This window comes from Homo sapiens, chromosome 6 (assembly GCF_000001405.40).
Source record: "Homo sapiens chromosome 6, GRCh38.p14 Primary Assembly".
In the NCBI taxonomy this organism is placed as follows: Eukaryota; Metazoa; Chordata; class Mammalia; order Primates; family Hominidae; genus Homo; species Homo sapiens.
Genome location: NC_000006.12, coordinates 161,149,927 through 161,170,913, shown reverse-complemented (window position 1 = coordinate 161,170,913; position 20,987 = coordinate 161,149,927). Strand labels below are relative to the sequence as shown.

Below are 20,987 nucleotides of genomic sequence, written 5' to 3'. Positions count from 1 at the left end.
AGATCTGCAGCCACTGTGAACTGATGGTGAGAGTGGAAGGACAGGCTGAACGTACTTGAAATGCTGCATGCCCTGAGCCCTGAGCAGTTAGAAAGCCCTGGCATTTGATGCATGATGGTAAAAAGAGGCATCTAATTTGAATGACAGACATCCCACCTCAAATGGAAGCAGCTCCTGTAGGGCTCTTCAGCACAAGAAGGGGCTGCCAGGTGGAGCTGGCTGTGCAGCTGTAGAGAGAAGGCTCTGGCTGATAGCATTGAAAGCAACCACACAGGAGAGGAAATGAAACCTAAATTCATGGAGATATTTGTAAGTCATGTGCAGTATATTTACATAAGAACATCCAACTAAAACATCAGCTGGTAAGCCATTCAACTAAAGGCAAAGCTTTTTGAGTATATGTGTATGTGTGTGTGTGTGTGTGTGTGTGTGTGTGTGTGCGCGCGCGCACGTGTGCACGCGCATGTGTATAAATGCCTAGGGGAAAAAACTATAAGACTATTTTCCAAACTGTTCATAATGGTTAACCTTGGAGAAGGGAGGGAGGTTGGGGCGGTAAAGAGGAAGTGTCTCTCGGTCAGGGTTCAATAAGAAGCTAAACCACTGGGAGATATGTAGACATCATCTCATTGGCCTTATTCAGCTGTGGGGGCTTGTTTAGCAGTCTCTGTAGGGAAGTTGTATCTGCATGTGATGCTGGAGCTTGCAGTCCACAGGGCAGGCGGTCAGGAAGGGGCGATGGATATAAACTGGGAGAGATCAAGATGTTGGAACCACCAAGCACAAGCGGGAGCCTCATGAGAATGGGCTAAAACTTGCATCAGTTCTTTTGCATCTGGCATTGATGGTGTGGATGTCCTGCAGAAGCTGGGATCTTGGTCACAGAGCAAAATACAACCACCTGGCCTGGGATTCAGAGAAGCTGGCGGGGATCCAGGGGAAGGAGGAGCAGTAGCAGGCCTAGCCGCTGCTTTGTGCTGAAGACGTGAATCAGCAGATCAGCAAAAACATGTGTGACCTACAAAATGGTGGTATTTCCTTTCCACCTTGCAAACCTCCCAAGAGTGTCTCTTGTGGTGCCCTCTAACCAGAAATATACAAGAAAGGGAAGTTTGGGAAATGTAGTCCAGGCCAGCGTAACACATCCTGAAGCTAGTTAGAGGAATTTTATATTTTCTTGTACATACTTCTGGGTTGTTTGAATCATTTTACAATGTGACTGTATAAATGTGTTTCTGTGAATTAAAAAAGAAGTGAAATCATTTGATTAAGAAAATGGGCTAGTCGTGGTGGCTCATGCCTATAATCCCAGCACTTTGGGAGGCCAAGGTGGAAGGATTGCTTGAACCCAGGAGGTTGAGGCTGCGGTGAGCTATGTATGATTGGGCCACTGCACTCCAGCCTGGATGACAGAGTGACACACCATCTCAAAAAAAAGAAAGGAAAAAACAAAAAAGGGAAATCAAGCTCTTTTATCCAGTGAGGTTCAGAGTTTAGTTGTCTAGTGAGCAGCCTGCTGAGGTGAGTGGGAAATTTGGTCTTCCCCCACCTGGTCCCAGCACCATCCCCTCTCGCTGTGCTGATGTAGTCACCCGCTAACTGGCCTCCCTATTCCAGTCTGTTCTTGTTTCAATCAGAGTGATTTTTTTTTCAGATGCAAATTGGATGTTGGTGTGTGTCTATTTAAAAATGCTCCAGTGGTTTTTATATTGCCTTTAGAATGAAATCATAAATCATAACTCCTTACTCTGGTAACCCAGAAGTCTCTGTGATGTTCTCTCTCTGGGTTTCTCTCCATCTGCCTCTGTCTCCTCCCCACCCTTCCTCTCCCCTTCAGTGGTCACAGAGCCTTTGTGTGTGATAAAATTATCAGGCATATAATAGTAATTAAAAAGCTGTCCATTTATTGATTGCCTGCTATGCCCCATGTCATGCTAGGTGCCTTGAGTCCATGCTCTTATTTAATATCCACAGCATCTCTAACGGCATTTACCTGTCCCTACTTTACAGAGAAGGGGGACATTGAGAAACATGCCAGAAGTCTCACAACTAGTAAGTGGCTCCACCGGGATCGGAGCCTGGATGTGTCTGACTCCCAAATCCATGAAGACAATATTCAGCAGCCATCCTATTAGCAGGCCTTTCTCCTTTCCCTGTCATGTTGTTTTGTGGTTGTGTAGCTGTCTTTTCCCTGGACAGTAAGCTGGAGGGGTGCCAGGATCTGATCTAATGTTTAATCATCTCCTGTATCTCGCAGAGTGCTTGAACGCATTAGGTAATCACGCGGCATTTGTTGAAAGCATCCATGTGCCAGGCTCTTGCTGAGTCTTGGAGTCGAGGCTAAGGTCGGGGTGAACCAAACAGTACAGTTGCTGTCTCGTGGCGCCCGTGCTCTATAGTAGGGGAGAGAACCTCACGCTGTGGTCACAGCTGTGATAGGGCTGTGGAGGGTACTGGGGAACATGTGAGTGGGGTAGGGGGCGGTGAGAGTGGCCTTAGGCAGGAAGGAGTCCCACAGAGAGGCATTTGGCCTGTGACACAAACGAAATGTGAGTCTCTTGGAAGCATCAGCTTTGTCTCCCTGACTCCCTGTGGAGTTGTGCTTTGGTGCTTATCTGTGGCCTTTGGCCAGTAATGGAGTAGATTGATCCTTCCCATCCTCGGGCTTGGAAAAACTCAGCCCAGCACTACAGGCATCTTCGTGCCCCATGGTAACAAATTGTCCCTCTGTCCCTTTGTCAGGCTGCCCTGCCAGGCTGCATGTTGTTACCCTAGCCCCCCACCCCACCACCGCCTTCCTGCCCCCACAACCAACTCCCAGGATGCGTCACTATTCCTTGACTTGTGCTTCTGGTTCCAGCAATGCTATGGCCTGGTGGGACAACTGAATGGGAGCTTGATATTTTCTCAGTTCCTAGAAATAGGTAGACACTTTTTATTGTTCATTTCTGGAGAAGGAAGGGGAGTGGTTTTCGTCGTTTTTAAGGAGACTGATAGCTTCAGTTTGCTGGGAACTTACAATGTGCTCTACGCTGAGCACATACTATGTGTTAGGTGCTTTATGTTCACAGAACCCTTTGGGGCAACCCCATTCCAAAGATGAAGGCACTGTCGTGTTAGGAGGTTAATTTGTCCAAAGTCCCGCAGTGCTCACTGCGTAAAAACTGGACTGTGATGCCTTCTAGAGGGCTCTGGTGCTCCACATCAAGCCTCCAGCTTCCAGCCTGGAGGAGAAAAGTTTCCAAGGACAGCCGCTTGAGCTACAACACTAGGCTTACTGGAGTCAAGGCCAAATCCACCTGCCTGTAGGGTAGGGATGGGGTGGGGAGGGAGTGAGTCCTCTGCTGCATGCATGCTTCACTAACGAGTGATTAAAAATGGGGGGCACATGGCCCAGTGCAGTGGCTCACGCCTGTAATCCCAGCACTTTAGGAGGCTGAGGTAGGAGGATTGCTTGAACCCAGGAGTCTACCCAGTAGGCAGCATGGCAAAACTGCGTCTTTACAAAAAATACAAAAAAATTAGCTGGGCATGGTGGTGCACACCTGTAGTCCCAGCTACTCAGGAGGCTGAGGTAGGAGGATCACTTGAGCCTGGGAGGTTGAGGCTGCAGTGAGCCGTGATCACACCACTACACTTAGCCTGGGTGACAGAGCAAGACTCCATCTCAAAAGAAAGGGGGAGGAGGCACAACCCTCGCAGAGCACTCAGGCGCCCACCCCTACTGAACACCGTCAACTTCAAGAGTCCATTTCAAAGTCCATCACCCACATTCAACTGTTTTTCTGGACAGTTTCTACCCTAGAGGCTTTTCCTGAGCCTGCCAGATTGGGAATAGGTTCCCTGGATGGGAGGCATCACTGAAGAATAAACTGCAAGTGGTCATGATTGCCTGAAGAAAGAATCTTTTTCTTTTCACAAGCCCCTACAAAGACTATTTCAATAGTTCTCTTCAGACCTGCTGTGGGCTGACTCTCACTCCCGCTGCCCTGCAGGTGCTGGGGCTCCTGCGGCTGGATCTGCCGTTCTCCATTCTTCCCCTGCCCTCAAGTGTCAGAAATGGGAGAGGAAAGTTGGGTATTTAATATTCTTTGATGGAGTTTATAAGTATCCCAATTAGTCATTTTCCAGGATATTAAGAATTCTATACCTCATCTCACGCTGCCTTTCAGAGCTCTGTAAACACAAGGGCATGAATTCTTGACGGATTCTGGCTTTCTGATTTATTTTCCCCCAAGATACTTAATCAAGGAGTAAGTCATTTACCTTCTCCAAGTATCCTTCTCTTCTTCCCTGGAGAATGTTGTGAAGTCTTTCTCGTGTTTCCTTCCGCTTCTGAACCCTTTCAAGGACCAAGGTCTGTGCTGCAACGATCCAGAACTTTGCCCGTAGAAGTTGCTTTCTCCCCTAGCTGGGAGGGCAGAGCCCTGCTCTCAGCAGGGCTCCCAGGACAAGGCTGCATGTAGTAAACATCTGTCTGTTGTGGTTTGTTCCAGAGCTGGTGATGCTGCTGGAGTGGTGGTCGGGCACGGAATGCACCATCTTCACGGACCCGCGCGCCTACCTCAAGTATGGGAAGGAAAATGCCATCGTGGTTCTCAACCACAAGTTTGAAATTGACTTTCTGTGTGGCTGGAGCCTGTCCGAACGCTTTGGGCTGTTAGGGGTAAGTCAGAAGTGCATTCCCCCCTGCCTCACACATTTCTCTGGTTCAGCCCCACCACTTGTCTTTTTGCTCCTGGTCATTCAGAACTTGCAGAAGAATCAACAGAGTTTCTACTTGATGAAATGGTCCTAATAAACTGCTTTTTATTCTTGCTGGGAGTCAGTCTTAACAGCTTCTTATGGGCAATCATAAGAGGTACTCAACAATTGCTACCTGCCGGCCATTTTACATATGATTCATTTATTTAATCCTTACAGCAACATGAATAGATGATGTGCCACACTCCATTTTTTAAAAACTAAGTTATATAGAGCTTAATATTCGGCTCAGAGTCACACAGCTGTAATTAGATTTGGATTTCACTCCCATCCATATTTCTTAATTCCATGCTCTACTGCCTCCTTGGCTAACAGGCAGACATCACCTCTGCATTTTGATCGTTGAAGGCTTAAGAACTTTGAGTCCATAAGTGAGAGAGTGAACTGCAAAATTCAGAATTATTCTGAAATTCTGTTTTTTTTTTTTCCCAACTAGTTTGACCTCTTGCACGTAGCTTGCATGCCTTTGGAACTGGGTCTCTTCAGTTGACTTTTGTCGTCTTCAACACACTGCAGCGTGTAGCGGTTGAGCCTGTGTCACATAGCTGAATCAGAGTCATCTGCGGTACTCAGGTATTCCGTAGGAATCACAGTGTACACAGTGTACATTGGTCTGGGGCTAGGAAAGGTCCTAAGAGTTTGCACCAGAACTTAGAGATCAGGTTTTGCACCTGGGAACAATGCCCTGTAGAACAGATACGGGGGCTGCTGAAATCACCTTGCTTTTTGGTAGCCCCTGAAGACAAAATCGTGGTGTTTAGAATATAGAAGATTGGAGACAGAGGCTATCAGGCCATGGAGGACATAGGGAACTAGACGGGTCTGGTTCCTGGAGGCAGATGAAGATAGCCTCCTGCCCACTGTTTTCTCCTTTTGTTTTCCTATTTATTCTCCCAGTGCTAACTTGATATCTTCTTGTGTGTACACGTGTGTGTGTGTGCAAATATATTTCTAGGAACAAGAGCAAACATTCTAGTAACTATCATTCTCTGATGTGGAGAACTTGGGCAGAGATCTGAGTTACAGCTTTGTGGATTTATTCTCTCTGATGAGAGATCGCCCCTTAGAATGTCATGGTCCTAACCCCGTCATGGATACCAGGGGTGAATGGCAGGGTTCTTCTCCTGCCCAGGAGGAAGGGTATGGGGAGCCGGTGCATCTTGACTGTCAGGTCACCTGTCTTACCACCTTTACAGCTAGGCTTTCTGAGGTGCCAGCGTCTCCTGGAATTCAAACTGTAGTTTAGAGGCAGCTGGTGATTTTCCAGGCTTTGTAAGTACTTTCTGGTAGTGTTCATGCTTAGAATGTGCAAACATTCATAATTCGTGGACCAGGAGTCTCTGAGGTAGAGCAGAAGGCCCATTGAACTTGGGGGTGCCTTCCAATCCCTGCTTGCCCCTTGGTGGCATTACACCCACGAGCTCACTCCGTGTGCTGTTCACCTTATTTCCGTAATTTCTAATCCTTAGGATATTATTATCCACATTTTATAAATAAACCCCCAGAGCCTCAGTTTGGCTGAGTGATTTGCCCGAGGACAATAGCTCCTAAGTCTGCTTTCAAAGCTTCTGCTCTTTCCCCTGGAAGATGTTGGGGGCACAAAAGCAGGGGCCCTGGGGCCCAAGACCTGCTCCAGAAACAGGACCCTGACCATCCTAAAACGACCCAGACCAGCTGCAGTAAGGACCAGGCTTCTAATACCTTCCTGGCTCGTGATGTGCAAAGGCCTCATTCGAGGGGTGCAAGTCACCCGCACCTTCATGGGGTTGGGGATGGAGTTGCAGGAGCTGGCAGAGCAGGGTCATGCACAGAGATGCTGGAGAAGCACCCAGATGCCCAGCACTAGCAGGCACGGGGACAGGCACAGATGAGGGAGAAGGTGAGCCCCACAACACATGCAGGGAGGGACCCAGGTCCAGAGAGAGGACATAGCCCCCAGACGGGAAGAGACATTCACGGAGCGGGAATTTAATCTCAGCACCGTTTAGGGTTTTGCTCCCAAAGGCTTCCGAATCCATGATCACTTTACAACTCTGAGCATAAGGGCGGGAGCGCTGATGGCGGGAAAGCAAGTCAACAGCACGCCCATCCCACCTGCAGCATAGGGACCGCACCTCCCCTTGATTTCATCGGTGATATTCTATTTATAGGACTTCACTCATTACTGTGAACACCCAAACAACTAATGCTGTGTGTAAGGGGGTCTGCGCCCTGCCACTGATGGTGGAGACTGTGCTTAGGATTAGAGTCTTCGGGGGCTCCACTTACAGGTGAAATAGGCAGGTCTGGGAGCCTGGGGCCAGGGCGATGCCTCTTCTCTTCTCACTGGAAGTTTGGGAGCCTTGCTCAGTGGGGGCCTTGGGTTTTCTGGATTCTTGCTAAAGTGCTTCCTTAAGCCCTGAGTCCTCTCTTCTCCAAACACCACAGAAACAGCCAGTGCCATTGTTATGCACATTCTCACAAAGCAAGGAGCTAGAGAGAGCAGGTGCCAGGAGAGGACTGAGTGGGGCAGGCACATGGCAGGCACTGGCTGGGGCGGATGGGAGCTGCCAGCCTGTACCCTCCCAGGGAACCCCCTCCCCATGTCACAGGGAACAGCTTTGCCATCTACTGGAGAGCTGTGGCCCATGACGGTGGGTGAGATGGCTGGTGCTCATCTCTGCCACCCTGGAAGGGGGTAAAGAACGGCATTGCCTTATATTCATTGTTCAGCAACATCTTTTGTCTTTAATGACCTTCAGAAAAAAAAAACAACCTCATTCATCTCTCTGTTTTTTCTTAAATAACACATGATGTTGGGATCCTTCTGGAGTCTGTGGAATTTGCTTTTTAAAGAGGAAAGGAACAGAAGAAGGTTCCTGACCAGGCATTTTTCATCCTCACCTATCACAGTCCAAGAGGAAATGAGTTTAAATTGAAGTCAATGAAATTTGCAGAAATTCACGAAGGTGGCATTTTTAAATGTAAAATTGGTCTTTTTGGGGAAAGTAATGGAATTGTCTTTTTAACAAAGAGGCTTTCAACCTTTTAAATGTACTCAAGATCCCATGAGGCCACTGCTCATTGCAGTGCCTGTCCCCAGAGGCTCTGGTTCTCCTGGGAGCCAGTGCTTCCTGGCATGTGCCAGGGCTCTGAAGGCTTTGGTTGATCTTGGAGTCACACGCTGAACCTTGCCTCCCTGGAGATGAGAGTGACACGCAGTCAGCTGGGGCACAGGTCACTAAGGTGCCCAACAAACCGTGGTGTGCAAGCGCAGGTCAGGTTCCTGAGGCTTCACGTCCCCATTTGCTTATCTTTTTCCCTTAGCAGGTCCCGGCTGGTTGCATAAGAGCATGATCGTTCAGTGTCTGGGTAGCGCCAGGCCCTGGCAAGCACACCATGAGCAGCAGCTATTATTATATTATCAATATTTATCTGCCGGGCCAACTGGGATATTTGTCTTCAGATCCTTAAAGAAGCCATGTGGATTAGTTATCCATGGCAGCGTGATGAGACCCAAAACATAGCGGCTTAAAACAACAAGCGTGTCATAAAGGTCCCCTGCCTATGTGGTCAGGAATCCAGGTGCAGCTGAGCGGGGGATCTGGCAGGGTCTCTCGGGAGGGGCTTGTGTGTGATCTGCCTCCAAGCTTGCTCACGGGTTTGCTGCCCGGCCTCCATCCCTCGCCACACAGGCTTGTTTTAAAACACAGTGTTTCCCGGAATATGGCAACTGCACCCCTGAGGTTGAGCCATGCAAGAGAGAGAGAGCGGGCGCCCGGGGCAGGAGCCATGAAGCTTCTGTAACCGGGACCCGGGAGAGACCTCCCATCCTTTCTATCCATACTGTTGGTTGGAAGTGGATCAGTAAGCACCGCCCGTGCCCCAGGGATGTGGGGTAGGGTGTGCAGGGGCGTGGGTGCCAGGAGGCCAGGATCACAGGGCCCCTTGGCGGCTGCCCACCCCACGGTGACATGACATTTGGTCTGAGACCTTCCCTTGCCCTCTTAGTAAATATGTAATACAGCTGGGCCTGAACACAGATTGAGATGTTGCATTTCTGGCCTGGCACAGTGGCTCATGCCTGTAATTCCAGTGGTTTGGAAGGCCAAGATGGGAGGATGGCTTGAAGCCAGGAATTTGAGACCAGTCTGGGCAACACAGTGAGATCTCTGTCTCTATAAACATAAATCAATAAATAAAACAAATGAAAAATAGCAGCATTGCATTTCTTTGCACAGAGAAAGGTGAGAGGAGGAGAGTGGCATTATCCCTCCTAGGCAGAGTGCCTGTGCGTGAGGGCGCCCATAAAGCCCTGTGCTGCCTCTTTAAACGAAGGATTTTCGATCATGACAACGATAGCAATTGATATACCTTCAAAATACGTGTCCAGTGAGTGTTGATTGTGTGTGGTTTCTCTAGGAGACCGTGTTCATGCAACACAGCATTATTTCACCGCCTTTACCCCAGCTTCTTCATACACATGCACTTGTCAAGGGCTCTTTGGCTGAAGAGAAGTTAGAAGTTTCCAGATATGGAGGGGTATTTTCAGCAGATATGCCCACCGCCATGGTTTTGTCAGCTCTGTAGGGTGGTCTTGCACCCTGCTCACTGCTGGCATCACCTGAGCCTATGGCAGATACCCAGTGCTGCCCGCCACCATGTGAATTCATCAGCTCTGCAGGCACAGACCTTGCACTAGGAATGGGCTGGGACGCCACCCTCTGCCTCTTACCATTCACTGGGTTTGGCAAGTGTGCTGGGATCTGGAATCACATGGATGAGGAACCCGATAATGGTGACGACCGAGGTAGCAGGCGAACCACTGGCCAGGGCAGGAAGTGGGCAGCTCACGGGACTATGGCTGCACCGCGGGTTCATACCGACTACCATCCTGGAGGTGGGAGCGCATGCTCATCTGTAAAAGTCCGGTCCCACGTTGGACACACCGGGGTCTTCTTCTTTGTTGACCAGGATCCTCTGGCAGTGTCTTTAACAAGCCAGAGTCTGATCCCACCGCTCATAAAGCCAGGGTTGTTGAAAGCTTGGGGCTTCCTCCTCCTCTGTGCGCAGCCCTCAGCAAACGGTCACAGCCTGTGCTGTCTGCTGTACACCGACTTGGTATCATCCCATGAACTGTCCCCCTTTCGTGCTCTGTGCTTAGGGCCCTCTGATGCCCCATCTGCCTGTGCTTCCTGCAACTGTTTAGCAAGCACCTATTATCTATAGGGTGCTGGGGTGCTGGGCGAGGCCAATCGCTCCTATTACTTTCTGCCCTGGGGACGTCCTGTTTTCCCACCTACCCCTGTAACGCCTCTGCTCTGCCTTCCCATCTGCGGGGCTAACGCCATCCCACAAGGGCTGGGCTGTCCGTTCAGAAGAGAAACTGGGAAGGGGCCTTGAGGACCTGTGTCCAGGCAGGGTGGACAAGGGCTTTGTGCAGGGAGCTCCTCTCCCATCTTTGTGTCCTGACAGCCGTGACCGTGACCCCTCAAAGCAGAGCCAGTAGTGATCAGTATCCTGCTGCTTCAAGCCTGCACGGTCCTCTTCTCCTCTCCGCACATCTGCATGCCTGTCAAACCCAGAATAGTTTGGGGCCTGGTAAACAGAGGGAAGTTGGCTGGAGGAGGCCAGTCAGGAGTGCAAGAACCCCGCGTACTCTGTCCCACGTGGATAAAGTCTCTAATTCCAGTCTGAGGTGAATTCTTAGAGAGTGCTTTCATTTAATGTTTGCTTTATGCATTTCCCCTGCAGCTGTGACTAATTGTGGAACAGCATACATTTTGTTTTGAGACTCTCTTGAGATTTTTCTGGCAGTGTAAGGTCTACACCATTTTCCTCTCAGCATCAGAGAAGGCAGAAAGCAAGAGAAAGGAATGCAATGTGAGCAAGGCCAGGCACACTTGTGCTACTGCAGTTGGCAAGAATGGAGTCTAATCCCAGCACTTTGGGAGGCCGAGGCGGGTGGATCACCTGAGGTCAGGAATTTGAGACCAACCTGGCCAACATGTTGAAACCTCGTCTGTACTAAAAATACAAAAAAAAAAAAAAAAAAAAAAAAAAAAATTAGCTGGGTGTGGTGGCAGGTGTCTGTAATCCCAGCTACTCCACAGGCTGAGGTGGGAGAATCGCTTGAACCCTGGAGGCGGAGGTTGCAGTGAGCTGAGATTGCACCACTGCACTCCAGCCTGGGCAACAGAGCAAGACTCCATCTCAAAAAAAGAAAAAAAAAAGAAAAGCCAGGTTTGGTGGCTCACACCTGTAATCCCATCCCAGCACTTTGGGAGACCTGAAGGTCAGGAGTTCGAGACCAGACTAGCCAACATGGTGAAACCCCGTCTCTACTAACAATACAAAAAATTAGCCAGGCACGGTGGCAGGTGCCTGTAATCCCAGCTACTCCGGAGGCTGAGGCAGGAGAATCGCTTGAACCCGGGAGGCAGAGATTGCAGTGAGCTGAGATTGTGCCACTGCACTCCAGCCTGGGCAACAAGAGTGAAACTTCGTCTCAAAAAAAAGAGAATGGAGTCTCTCACCTTTTGATGAACACACACACACACGCACGCGTGCACACAAACTGATTCATTATTTTGAGCTCCAGTCTTTTCTGCATTTTGCTATAACTAGGGACAGATTTCAGAGATTCCAGGCCCATACCATCCTCTCTTGCACACACCTTTCTTGCCAGAAGGGGTCTGTACAACAACTTACTGGCAGAGTTTAGTGGCAGAAGTGGAACACAGAAACTGAAAGCTTTCTGCTTCTCCCTTCCCACTAGACTCTGGGCACCTCAAGGCCACAGGTAATCATAACCAGCATTGAGTTCTCGGCACCTGCATAATGCCTGGCATAGGGGGCTTCTTAATCAATACCTTTGCACAGACAGAGCAGCCTTGGGTTGAAGATTCCAATCTGATGCGCTTATGCACCATACATCAGAATGGAGGCTGTGCTATGGGGAGACTTGTGGGGACCCTGGAGTGATAGGGCTGGATGGCTTGTCTTGGCTCCAGGGAACTGAAACATTTGCTACAGTGGCTCCAGCTGGTAGTCAAGAAAACAGTCAAAGGACTCAAAGGCAGGCTGTTTAGCCTGCTTTATTGTTAAGGAACATCTCACCTGTTTTTGAAGTTCCACTTAAGATACCTCATTTTATATATTTAGTAGAAATAAATGACCTTGGCTCACTTGACTAACTGGTAACCCTACTGGGAAACCTTCATGAATGACTGGACGTTTGCAAACAAAGCTGGCCATAGAGCCTCAGCCCCTGAGGGGTTCCTTGCTGGTGTTAGTGGGGGTGGAGGCGGTGCAGGAGCAGGATACCCTGCTGCTCCCAGCCATGCTGCTCGCAGCACCGGGGTTTGGAATCTTCATCTGAAGCCTTGATGAGTAGCCATTTTGGAGAAAACCTTAACTAGAATGGCCTCATTCCGATCCCTTTTCACCCCAGAGGCTGTAGAGCTTCTGAAGGTCAGGGTCAGAGTACTGGGTCTCAGGCCCTCTCTGCGTCAGCTCTTCCCAACGTCCAGGGTCTCTGCAAGGGCTGGCCCACTTGCCAGAGATGCAGACCAGGTCATGGGGCTGGCTGCTTCCCTGAGCTGTGGGGAGCCTCAGGATGGGTCGCTCAACTAGATTAGCTCCAAGCACCTGCCCTAAGACAACTCTCTCTTTCACTCTCTCTCTCCATAGTGGTTTACTCCACGTGAAAATTTTAGATTGTCTAAATATGCTTGTATCTAGACAGATCTGTTGATACATCTAACTCATCAGTAAATCCTTTCACGTTGACCTGTGAAATAAATCCAGAATTGATGAAATTAGTATATTTTCTTGTACATTCTCTCTGAAAGCTGTTGGCATCACACATGGAAGCCTCTGAGTGGCCTGGGAAAGCCATGATAGTTATAGCCTATTGAACCTTTTGCCGGGGGAACTGTCAGTATGTCTTAATAGCAGTTTCTAGTCTCTTTGTCATAAGTGAGTTAACTTGGGCAACTGTCTGTGCACAGTGACTCTTCAGTTGTGCTTAAATAAATGTAATCTATTGTTGTTACTATTACGCTAAAGCATGGCAGAGAAAATGGGTTGAATAAGGAGGTGTTCAGATACTGCTTGCTCTGGGATGAAAATAATAGCTACAAGTTATTGAACGCCCATGTCAGAGTCTCAACTTTGTGCTTTTGTAGATGTTTCCATACATTATTCAGTCTTTACAGGGACACCAGGGAATATGTGTTGTCTTCCTCATCACACAGAGGGGAAACAGAAGCTCAGAAGGATTGGGTGTCTTGAGCACAGTTACACAGCTGGGTCGTGGTAGAGCCTGGTTAGAAACAGGACTGTCTCATTCCAGAGCTTTTCATGCAGCCCTGCCAGGGAAAGAGAATTGAGTGACATTTCTTCAGTTTGAAGAAGTAAAAGCTTCTACCTTAATATTTTAACATGTTTCTTACCAAACATAGTTAACATCAAAACCTAGACATATTGATAACATCCAAAATTTTAAGGCTGAAAGATGGATTAAGCCAGTATAAAGAAAGTTATGTCTCTTCTTTTCCCTTTGATCATCAAAAACACCTGTTACCCCAGCACTTTGGGAGGCCGAGGCAGGCAGATCACCTGAGGTCAGCAGTTAGAGACTAGCCTGGCCAACATGGTAAGACCCTGTGTCTACAAAAAATACTAAAATTAGCCAGGCATGGTGATGGGCACCTGTAATCCCAGCTACTCAGGAGGCTGAGACAGGAGAATCACTTGAACCTGGGAGGCGGAGGTTGCAGTGAGCCAAGATTGTGCCATTGCACTCCAGCCTGTGCGACAAGAGCAAAACTCTGTCTCAAAACAAAACAAAACTGTTTCTGACCCAGAGCCTCACTTATATTCCCAAAGCAGATGGCGAAAGCATGCTGATGTCAGCCCCTTCTTAAAAGTGACATTGTTACAGGGATACTGTGAAATATGTTTACAATAAAAAACTGGAAAATCTAACAAAATAAAAATCACTTGTAAATGACTGCCCAGTGCTGAGACCAGCTTGGTCAGGCAGACCCTAACCCAGCGGTGCTAGAGGAATTAAAGACACACAGAAATATAGAGATGTGAAGTGGGAAATCAGGGGTCTCACAGCCTTCAGAGCTGAGAGTCTTGAACAGAGATTTACCCACGTATTTATTAACAGCAAGCCAGTCATTAGCATTGTTTCTATAGATATTAAATTAACTGAAAGTATCCCTTATGGGAAACGAAGGGATGGGGTGAATTAAAGGAATAGGTTGGGCTAGTTAACTGCAGCAGGAGCATGTCCTTAAGGCACAGATTGCTCATGCTATTGTTTGTGGTTTAAGAACACCTTTAAGCGGTTTTCCGCCCTGGGCAGGCTAGGTGTTCCTTGCCCTCATTCTGGTAAACCCACAACCTTCCAGTGTGGGTGTTATGGCCATCATGAACATGTCACAGTGCTGCAGAGATTTTGTTTATGGCCAGTTTTGGGGCCAGTTTATGGCCAGATTTTGGGGGCCTGTTCCCAACAGCCCAGCAACAACTACTGTTGTTTTTCTCTGCTTTACTTTTTTCATAAAGTCATAATAATGCTATAGACTCACCTTTGTTCCAGATCTTTTAAAAATTTAGTATTATACAGTAAACCATTGCCTAGCCATTACACAGTCATAGAAAACAAGTTTTAGTGGCTCTAAATTAGGCTCTAATTAGTGGCTCTAAATTTAGTGGCTCTAAATGTCATCTGGAATGGGCCAGAGAATGAATATTTTAGGTTTTGTGGACCACAGCGTGTCTGTCAAAAAACACTCCTGTGTGTAGCGTGAAGGCAGCTGCAGACAATAGGCACATGGACAAGAGGCTGTGTGGCCACAGGACGTCACTTACAAAAGCAGGCAGAGGAGCAGGCTTGTCCCGAGGGCAGTAGCTTGCTGACTCCTCTCTAGTGTTATACAAGATCTGGTACACACCATAACCCACGTGACATGTCTACCGTGGGATATCTAAACATTTTTGGTGATCTAAGAGGGATGGAGATAGAGACTCCCATCCCAGGTGACCATCTACGGGTCTAGATAAGCCGCATCACTGTCAAAGTTGTCGTTTCCATTTAGCAGCAGGTCATCAGAGGCCAACCACTAGGACCCACTAGGATCTTGCAAGATAGAATTGTGAACGGGAAATATCCCTGAGAGTGCTTTTCCCCAGCAGAAGCCATGATTGGCTGCATGGGACCTCTCACCTTCCCAGGGCCAACAGCTGCTGCTTTAGTCTGTGGCCCCTTCCTGGCTGCAGAACCAATCATCATTTATAGCTCCTTCAAATGACTGCATGTTTGGAATGAGTTCAGGTAAATATAATTTTAAAAAATACCATGGGCACAGCACACGGTAAGCCCTCACACCCGCACCAGTGGGTTCACCCACCCACGGGGATGTTCCCGGAGTCCCCTGGAGATAGGGCCTCCGATTTCATGGCTAAGTTTTCTTGGAGAGAATCTGCATGTTGGATTTGTGTGAAAAACAAACTCCATCAGAAAATGGAGATGCTAAACCTAGAAGGTATCTGCCTTTTCTATCCCATGTGAGGGAAGAAGTTTCTTGTTTTTTTAAAGTAGGGTAGCAATTGGCTGTTTAGACCTTTTTCTGTTCTGCCAGTAGGTTGGGGGACACGGCTTACTGACCCTGTGCTGAGCTGGAGCTGCGGAGAGGCATGGGTGTAACGGGGAGGAGAGGAGAGAGGGCTGTGTTGAAGCCGGAGCTCTCTGCGCTGTGGGCATCCTAGGTTTAGGGCTGCCCTGACCGCTGATATCCCATTGATCAGTCATCGACCCACTGATCAAGGAGCATCTTGGCCAGTTCCAAAATTAAGGTGAAAAGATAAACATCCATCAGATAAAAAGCAGTTTTTGTGTCTCCACTGCCCCGTCCATCCCACTGAAGCCCTGGTCTTCCTCAGTGTAGGGGGACTGATGTAGTGGACGCCTGGCTGGGGAGGGCCACACCGAGCCCTGGGGACCCAGGACTGCCCTGAGACTCCCCAGAGGGGACCTGTGGGGCCTAGCTCGTGCACCTGCGTCAGCCTCAAGAAGGTCTCTGGCAGGTGCTTCTGCCCCGTCTCAGCCTCAAGGACATGCTGGCAGCGGGTGTGGAGGGCACCGAGCACATCTCCTGGTCTGGGTTTTACTCCCAGCTTGGACCAGCTGTACCCGGAGATCCCACTGGGCTCCGCAGCCTGCTCTGTGAGCGGAGACTCCTGTTTGCCTCAACTGCAGAGCTCAGCAGAGTGAGTTGAGCTGTCTCGGAAAAATCGGATTCAAATGAATCTTTGGCCAACCACTGTTCAAGAAGGATGTTAACCTCACACCTAGGAATGCTACATTTTCTAGCGTTTGACATTTTCAGCGATCAAGAATTACTATATTTTGTAATATCACAAAACTCAGTGAGATCTGCAGAAAAGAGGTGCACAAATTAGTGTCACACAGCTGCACGGTGGGCTTAGCGAGTATGTGACGGTGATAACCTAGAAACCGTTTGGATGGTGGTGGGAGCATCGTCAGGACCCTGAATACCTGTGACTGCTCGCTGCTGCCTTCTTGACTCCTGCCGTCTGCGCTGAGAACCAGGGTGCCCCTGCCCCCTGCTCCCACACTGGCAGGGCAAGCACAACCTGGACCTCTAGCTGAAAGGTGGGGAGGGCACCAGGGTCCATGGCCTCGACAGCATGTGTTCTGGGACTGTCCCGAGGCGTCTGGTGTGAACGTCCCCTCCTCTTTTTCTACTTCAGTCTCCAACAGCCCCGGCAGGTGGCTCTGACGTCTCCTTCATGGGCACCTGGGCTCCTTCTTCTGTTTCAGGGCTCCAAGGTCCTGGCCAAGAAAGAGCTGGCCTATGTCCCAATTATCGGCTGGATGTGGTACTTCACCGAGATGGTCTTCTGTTCGCGCAAGTGGGAGCAGGATCGCAAGACGGTTGCCACCAGTTTGCAGCACCTCCGGGACTACCCCGAGAAGTATTTTGTATGTAGGCACCAGAGCAGCTGTGTCCCAAGGGCTCCTGCAGGACTGTGACCGTGGGACCCCCATGTGACTTCCACAGGACACGTGACTGTGTGGTCCTGTGCGACTCCAGGGCTGTGTGTGACCATAGGGCTGTGTATAACCTCAGGGATGTATGTGACCATGGGGCCGTGTGTGACCGTGGGGCCACGTATGACTGTGGGGCCGTGTATGACCATGGGGCCGTGTGTGACCCCAGGGCTGTGTGTGACCCCAGGGCTGTGTGTGACCATGGGGCCGTGTGTGATCATGTGGCCATATGTGACCCTGGGGCTATGTGTGACCCCAGGGCTGTGTGTGACCCCAGGGCTATGTGTGACCTCAGGGCTGTATGTAACCATGGGGCCCTGTGTGATCGTGTGGCCATATGTGCCCCTGGGGCTGTGTGTGACCCCAGGGCCAGGCATGACACCAGGGCTGTGTGTGACCCCAGGGCTGTATGTGACCCCAGGGCTGTGTGTGACCTCAGGGCTGTATGTAACCATGGGGCCCTGTGTGATCGTGTGGCCATATGTGACCCTGGGGCTGTGTGTGACCCCAGGGCCATGCATGACCCCAGGGCTGTGTGTGACCCCGAGGCTGCGTGCGACTCCTGCCTCCTTCCTTCCAGTTCCTGATTCACTGTGAGGGCACACGGTTCACGGAGAAGAAGCATGAGATCAGCATGCAGGTGGCCCGGGCCAAGGGGCTGCCTCGCCTCAAGCATCACCTGTTGCCACGAACCAAGGGCTTCGCCATCACCGTGAGGAGCTTGAGAAATGTAGGTAAGGAAGAGTGCGTGGCCCTGGGCCTCCCCGTGGCAGCGAGGAAGACAAGCCCCAGCTCCGGATGGGCAGAGCTTGCTTCCTGCCAGCACTTCCCAGCTGACTTGAGGCTAGGAGCTCAGAGTGGCTGCTCAAGTCCAGTCTCTGTGACTGGGAACCAAGGTCAAATGGCATTTGCACCCCTGGCTGGCACTCAGGGTGGGCCTGTGCCTGCTTTTCCTGGGGTGCCCAGGCCAGCGCTGCCCTCTGCTGTGCAAATGTGCTGGGTGCCTGGATGGCCCATGGGGTAACCTGGGTCCAGGCCTGCAGGCCCAAGACAGCACAGTTGGGTTTGAGGGGCATTTCTTGCCCACCTGTTGGCATCAGCTGAACTCTGACCTTGTGGTCTGTCACAGCTGACCTCGGAGTCTGGAACCCTAAATGGCCATCGGTAAGAAGAAGAAAATAGCAACAACTTGCCTCTGGCCTCTTGTCATGCTTTTGTCTTCTTTTTGACCCTTCTGTCTCCAGTTCAGAAACACCCTCTGTGTCCTTCTGCACACCTGGCCTCCCCACGCCCTCACAGTCCCTTGGCCCTTTCCGTGGGCTCCAGGCCCTGGGGGCGGCTTCCTGTGCTCCTTCTCAGGCAAAGCACTTCAGGCGAAGCTGTCTCCTTCCTGGAGGGAGCTAGAACCCAGCTGAATGCGGCTCCCGGCCCCATGCTGCCGCCTTCCTCGGCCTTATCCTCTTGTCTCCTCTCCTCCTTCTGAGGCAAAGGGCAGGGGGCCCCGAACTCCTCCCCAGGCCTGCATCTGGGGCCCCTTGGTTTCTCCAGCCCTGGCTGACCCCCTACCAGGACCTCTGGAGCAACAGAGTTGGTGAATCTGTACCTCTGAAAGTCCCCAGGTGACCCACCGGCTTTAGCGGTGGTTGAAGGCCCTGGGTAGCCCTCCCTGCTGGCCTCTGCTGCCTGTTTAACACCCTGCTGCACACCCGGGCCAGCGCCAGCCCCGCTCCCTTCTGGGGCTGCCGGGACCCAGGCCAGGCGGGCTGTGCCCCTGGCCCCCTCGCCCCTCTGTGTGCCTGCCCTGCCCTTAGCCCTGTTAACCAGTTTCTTCTTCCCCACATTCTTCCCTTGCTTCCTCATCCCTCTTCTCCTGGTCACCAGTGTTCCTTGATGACCTCTATTGGCACAATGCCATGTACTCCACACAGTGTCACCTTCAATCCCCACAACATCCTGGCAGGCAGCTCTTACTCCCGGAGAGGAGAGAGAAAAGCAGGCTCTGGAGTCTCAGCAGCTCACTTGGGCCTGCAGAACCGAGGGCCCACCGGGCCAGCCACCTCCGAGGTCCTTCCCCTCTGCCCAGCCTCTTAGAAGGTCAGCGGCACAGAGGGGCACTAGCTGCCTAAATGTCTCTCTTGCTCTGGGCTCAGCCCAAGGGCCAGAATTATCCTGCTCCCTGCAGTCCCTGCCTCTACACCGACCCTGGGCCCCAGGGCCAAGGATGCCCCCATTGCTCGTCCCCCGCTCCACCTCCCAGGCTGCTGCGCTCTGCACTGTCCAGCAGCGTCAAGACCCTGTGCACTCCCTGATCAGGAGACCTCACTGAATCCTGTTTCCTCTGCTGACCAGCTGTGTGACTCTGGGCAAGTGACCTTGTCTCTCTGATCCTAAGTTTGCTCCGAGTTCTGCAAAATCTGTTAGGGCTGCAAGGAGGATTAAATGAGAAAAGCTGGGTAAAGGGCTCAGCATCCCACCTGGTACATGATAAACATTTAATCAAAGGCTGCTCTTGTTAGGGGCCCCCTGCCTCCCACTGCACATCTCACCTTCTGCCCCTGGTGGGGTTGCCCAGCTTGCAGGGCTACGTGTCCCCCTCCTGATCCATCCCCTCTGGGTTGGGCCAGCGCGGCTCCCTAACTGAGCTTTGCCTCAGTCTTGCCTCGCAAGGCCGTCCAGCTCTATGCTGTTCATCACGGAGAGTTAACAAGGCTGTCTCCAAGAACAGCCAACACCGGTCTCGGGCGCGTCTGGCACGCCAGGCCCTGTACGCACTGTGCACATGGGATGTCCTCACAGGACTCAGGAAGGCAGATTGCTTTTTCTTTTTGCTTTCGGTTCACAGATAAGGACATTGGGGCTCAGAGAAGTTAAGGAGCTGGCGCAGTGTGACTCAGCCAGTACATGGCGAGCTGGGATTTGCTCCTGGCTGGCGGGGGCTGGCAGCGGCTGCTCTCACTCCTTCTGATGCGCCTTGCAGTTAGAATCAGGCTGGCTCTCCATTCAAGACACTTTTTTTGAGGTTTTCCTCTGGAAAATGAGACAGTTGGACAAGTCACTGATATTTAGGTGGCTCTTTGGGGAACCCGTGGGTTCTCCCCACCTTTGCTTAACCAGAGTCAGCCTCTTCTGTTGTCTGCATGGGTCCCTGTGTGAACAGGTTGGAGGAAAGGAGGTGTCAAAACCGCTGAACTACGTGAGCTCTGTGGCCCCTTCTTACTGGGAAGCCCTAGGACACTACAGTCATGGTCCACACAGCCTGAACAGCTGTTCCTGTAGATACGCATTTATGCTTTAAAATGCCTGGGAAATGTGATAAGCATCCAGGTTCTCTCCCAGCCACCCTGACCAGGCAGCTACTCCTCAGGAGGGCTCAGGAGAACAGTCCCGCCTTCAGCCCCAAGGCGGGGGTGAGTGGTCTCGGGCACTCCGGGCCCCACTTCCAGGCTCTCCTGCAGGGCAGCAGATAGTGGACCTGCAGACCCCGCATGGTGGTCAGGCAGCAGGTAGAAGAAAACAGATGGTGATTTATTGTTTTTGAATCTTGGTTCCACATATTCCCAACCAGACCAAGGGCCTTTCCTCCTTCCTGCCATTCTCCCACTCCTTTTATTAATACTTGCACATATGTAAAGCTCCCAGTGAAGTGTCTGGCTCATCATTTATTGAACACAAACCATGTGCTGGTCCCTGCAGTAAGTGCCTGACCTCCATCATCTCAGCAGCTGTGTGACAGAGGCTCCCTTCTCCAGGAGAAGACCTAGCCCCAGCTGCCCAAGAGAAGATCCCACCGGTGGGAAAAGGTGGCAGCCGCTGGGGTTCCCACCCGTTCCTCCTACCGTCTGGTGCTCTTACACTTCAGCAAGTAGCCATTTTCCACTGTGCATTTATCTCTTCTGTTCCTTCACTCGTTCCTTCCTATATTCTTTCATCCTTTGATCCAAGAAGCTTCAACTGACTACAATCCAATTCCTTAAGGAGTTTCTCATCAGTATCTTCTCCTAGGATAATTTGTAGCTACCTTCTTTTTCTAGGGGAAAATAATGCTCATAGAATGGTTATGCTGCTGTAACTGAGACACATCCTTACTTTCCTTTGGAATAATTTTTCTTATCATCCACACTTGTTCAAATTTCGGTGTTTCTTGACTGAAATG

The 20,987-nt window shown here is 50.6% G+C and overlaps 1 protein-coding gene and 1 long non-coding RNA gene across 2 annotated transcripts in view, besides 8 other annotated features; both read left to right on the top strand.

Moving 5' to 3' along the window:
• Positions 1-20,987, top strand: part of AGPAT4 (1-acylglycerol-3-phosphate O-acyltransferase 4) — a 144,095-nt gene that overhangs the window by 103,148 nt on the left and 19,960 nt on the right. Inside the window, exons 3-5 of the mRNA NM_020133.3 lie at positions 4,497-4,666; positions 16,604-16,765; positions 17,415-17,568. Of these exons, the coding sequence (NP_064518.1) occupies positions 4,497-4,666; positions 16,604-16,765; positions 17,415-17,568 (486 nt within the window). The remainder of the gene's footprint in view (positions 1-4,496; positions 4,667-16,603; positions 16,766-17,414; positions 17,569-20,987) is intronic.
• Positions 292-401: an enhancer, noted in NCBI's record as "active region_25412". NCBI's record gives its function as "activates an Ori minimal core promoter by ATAC-STARR-seq in GM12878 lymphoblastoid cells {active_cell/tissue: GM12878}" and the evidence as "EXISTENCE:reporter gene assay evidence [ECO:0000049][PMID:35858748]".
• Positions 803-1,097: an enhancer, noted in NCBI's record as "tiled region #12533; HepG2 Activating non-DNase unmatched - State 10:DNaseD". NCBI's record gives its function as "activates a minimal TATA promoter and a strong SV40 promoter by Sharpr-MPRA in HepG2 cells {active_cell/tissue: HepG2}" and the evidence as "EXISTENCE:reporter gene assay evidence [ECO:0000049][PMID:27701403]".
• Positions 2,274-2,869: an enhancer, noted in NCBI's record as "NANOG hESC enhancer chr6:161589077-161589672 (GRCh37/hg19 assembly coordinates)". NCBI's record gives its function as "activates a minimal SCP1, AML or CMV promoter by ChIP-STARR-seq in naive H9 embryonic stem cells {active_cell/tissue: H9 hESC(naive)}" and the evidence as "EXISTENCE:reporter gene assay evidence [ECO:0000049][PMID:30033119]".
• Positions 4,352-5,061: an enhancer, noted in NCBI's record as "H3K4me1 hESC enhancer chr6:161586885-161587594 (GRCh37/hg19 assembly coordinates)". NCBI's record gives its function as "activates a minimal SCP1, AML or CMV promoter by ChIP-STARR-seq in naive H9 embryonic stem cells {active_cell/tissue: H9 hESC(naive)}" and the evidence as "EXISTENCE:reporter gene assay evidence [ECO:0000049][PMID:30033119]".
• Positions 8,484-8,984: an enhancer, noted in NCBI's record as "H3K4me1 hESC enhancer chr6:161582962-161583462 (GRCh37/hg19 assembly coordinates)". NCBI's record gives its function as "activates a minimal SCP1, AML or CMV promoter by ChIP-STARR-seq in primed H9 embryonic stem cells {active_cell/tissue: H9 hESC(primed)}" and the evidence as "EXISTENCE:reporter gene assay evidence [ECO:0000049][PMID:30033119]".
• Positions 8,932-10,800, top strand: AGPAT4-IT1 (AGPAT4 intronic transcript 1). Its single transcript, NR_024277.1, has one exon. It is a non-coding gene; the product is annotated as an AGPAT4 intronic transcript 1 (long non-coding RNA).
• Positions 9,672-10,230: an enhancer, noted in NCBI's record as "H3K27ac-H3K4me1 hESC enhancer chr6:161581716-161582274 (GRCh37/hg19 assembly coordinates)". NCBI's record gives its function as "activates a minimal SCP1, AML or CMV promoter by ChIP-STARR-seq in primed H9 embryonic stem cells {active_cell/tissue: H9 hESC(primed)}" and the evidence as "EXISTENCE:reporter gene assay evidence [ECO:0000049][PMID:30033119]".
• Positions 11,636-12,135: an enhancer, noted in NCBI's record as "H3K27ac hESC enhancer chr6:161579811-161580310 (GRCh37/hg19 assembly coordinates)". NCBI's record gives its function as "activates a minimal SCP1, AML or CMV promoter by ChIP-STARR-seq in primed H9 embryonic stem cells {active_cell/tissue: H9 hESC(primed)}" and the evidence as "EXISTENCE:reporter gene assay evidence [ECO:0000049][PMID:30033119]".
• Positions 12,136-12,637: an enhancer, noted in NCBI's record as "H3K27ac hESC enhancer chr6:161579309-161579810 (GRCh37/hg19 assembly coordinates)". NCBI's record gives its function as "activates a minimal SCP1, AML or CMV promoter by ChIP-STARR-seq in primed H9 embryonic stem cells {active_cell/tissue: H9 hESC(primed)}" and the evidence as "EXISTENCE:reporter gene assay evidence [ECO:0000049][PMID:30033119]".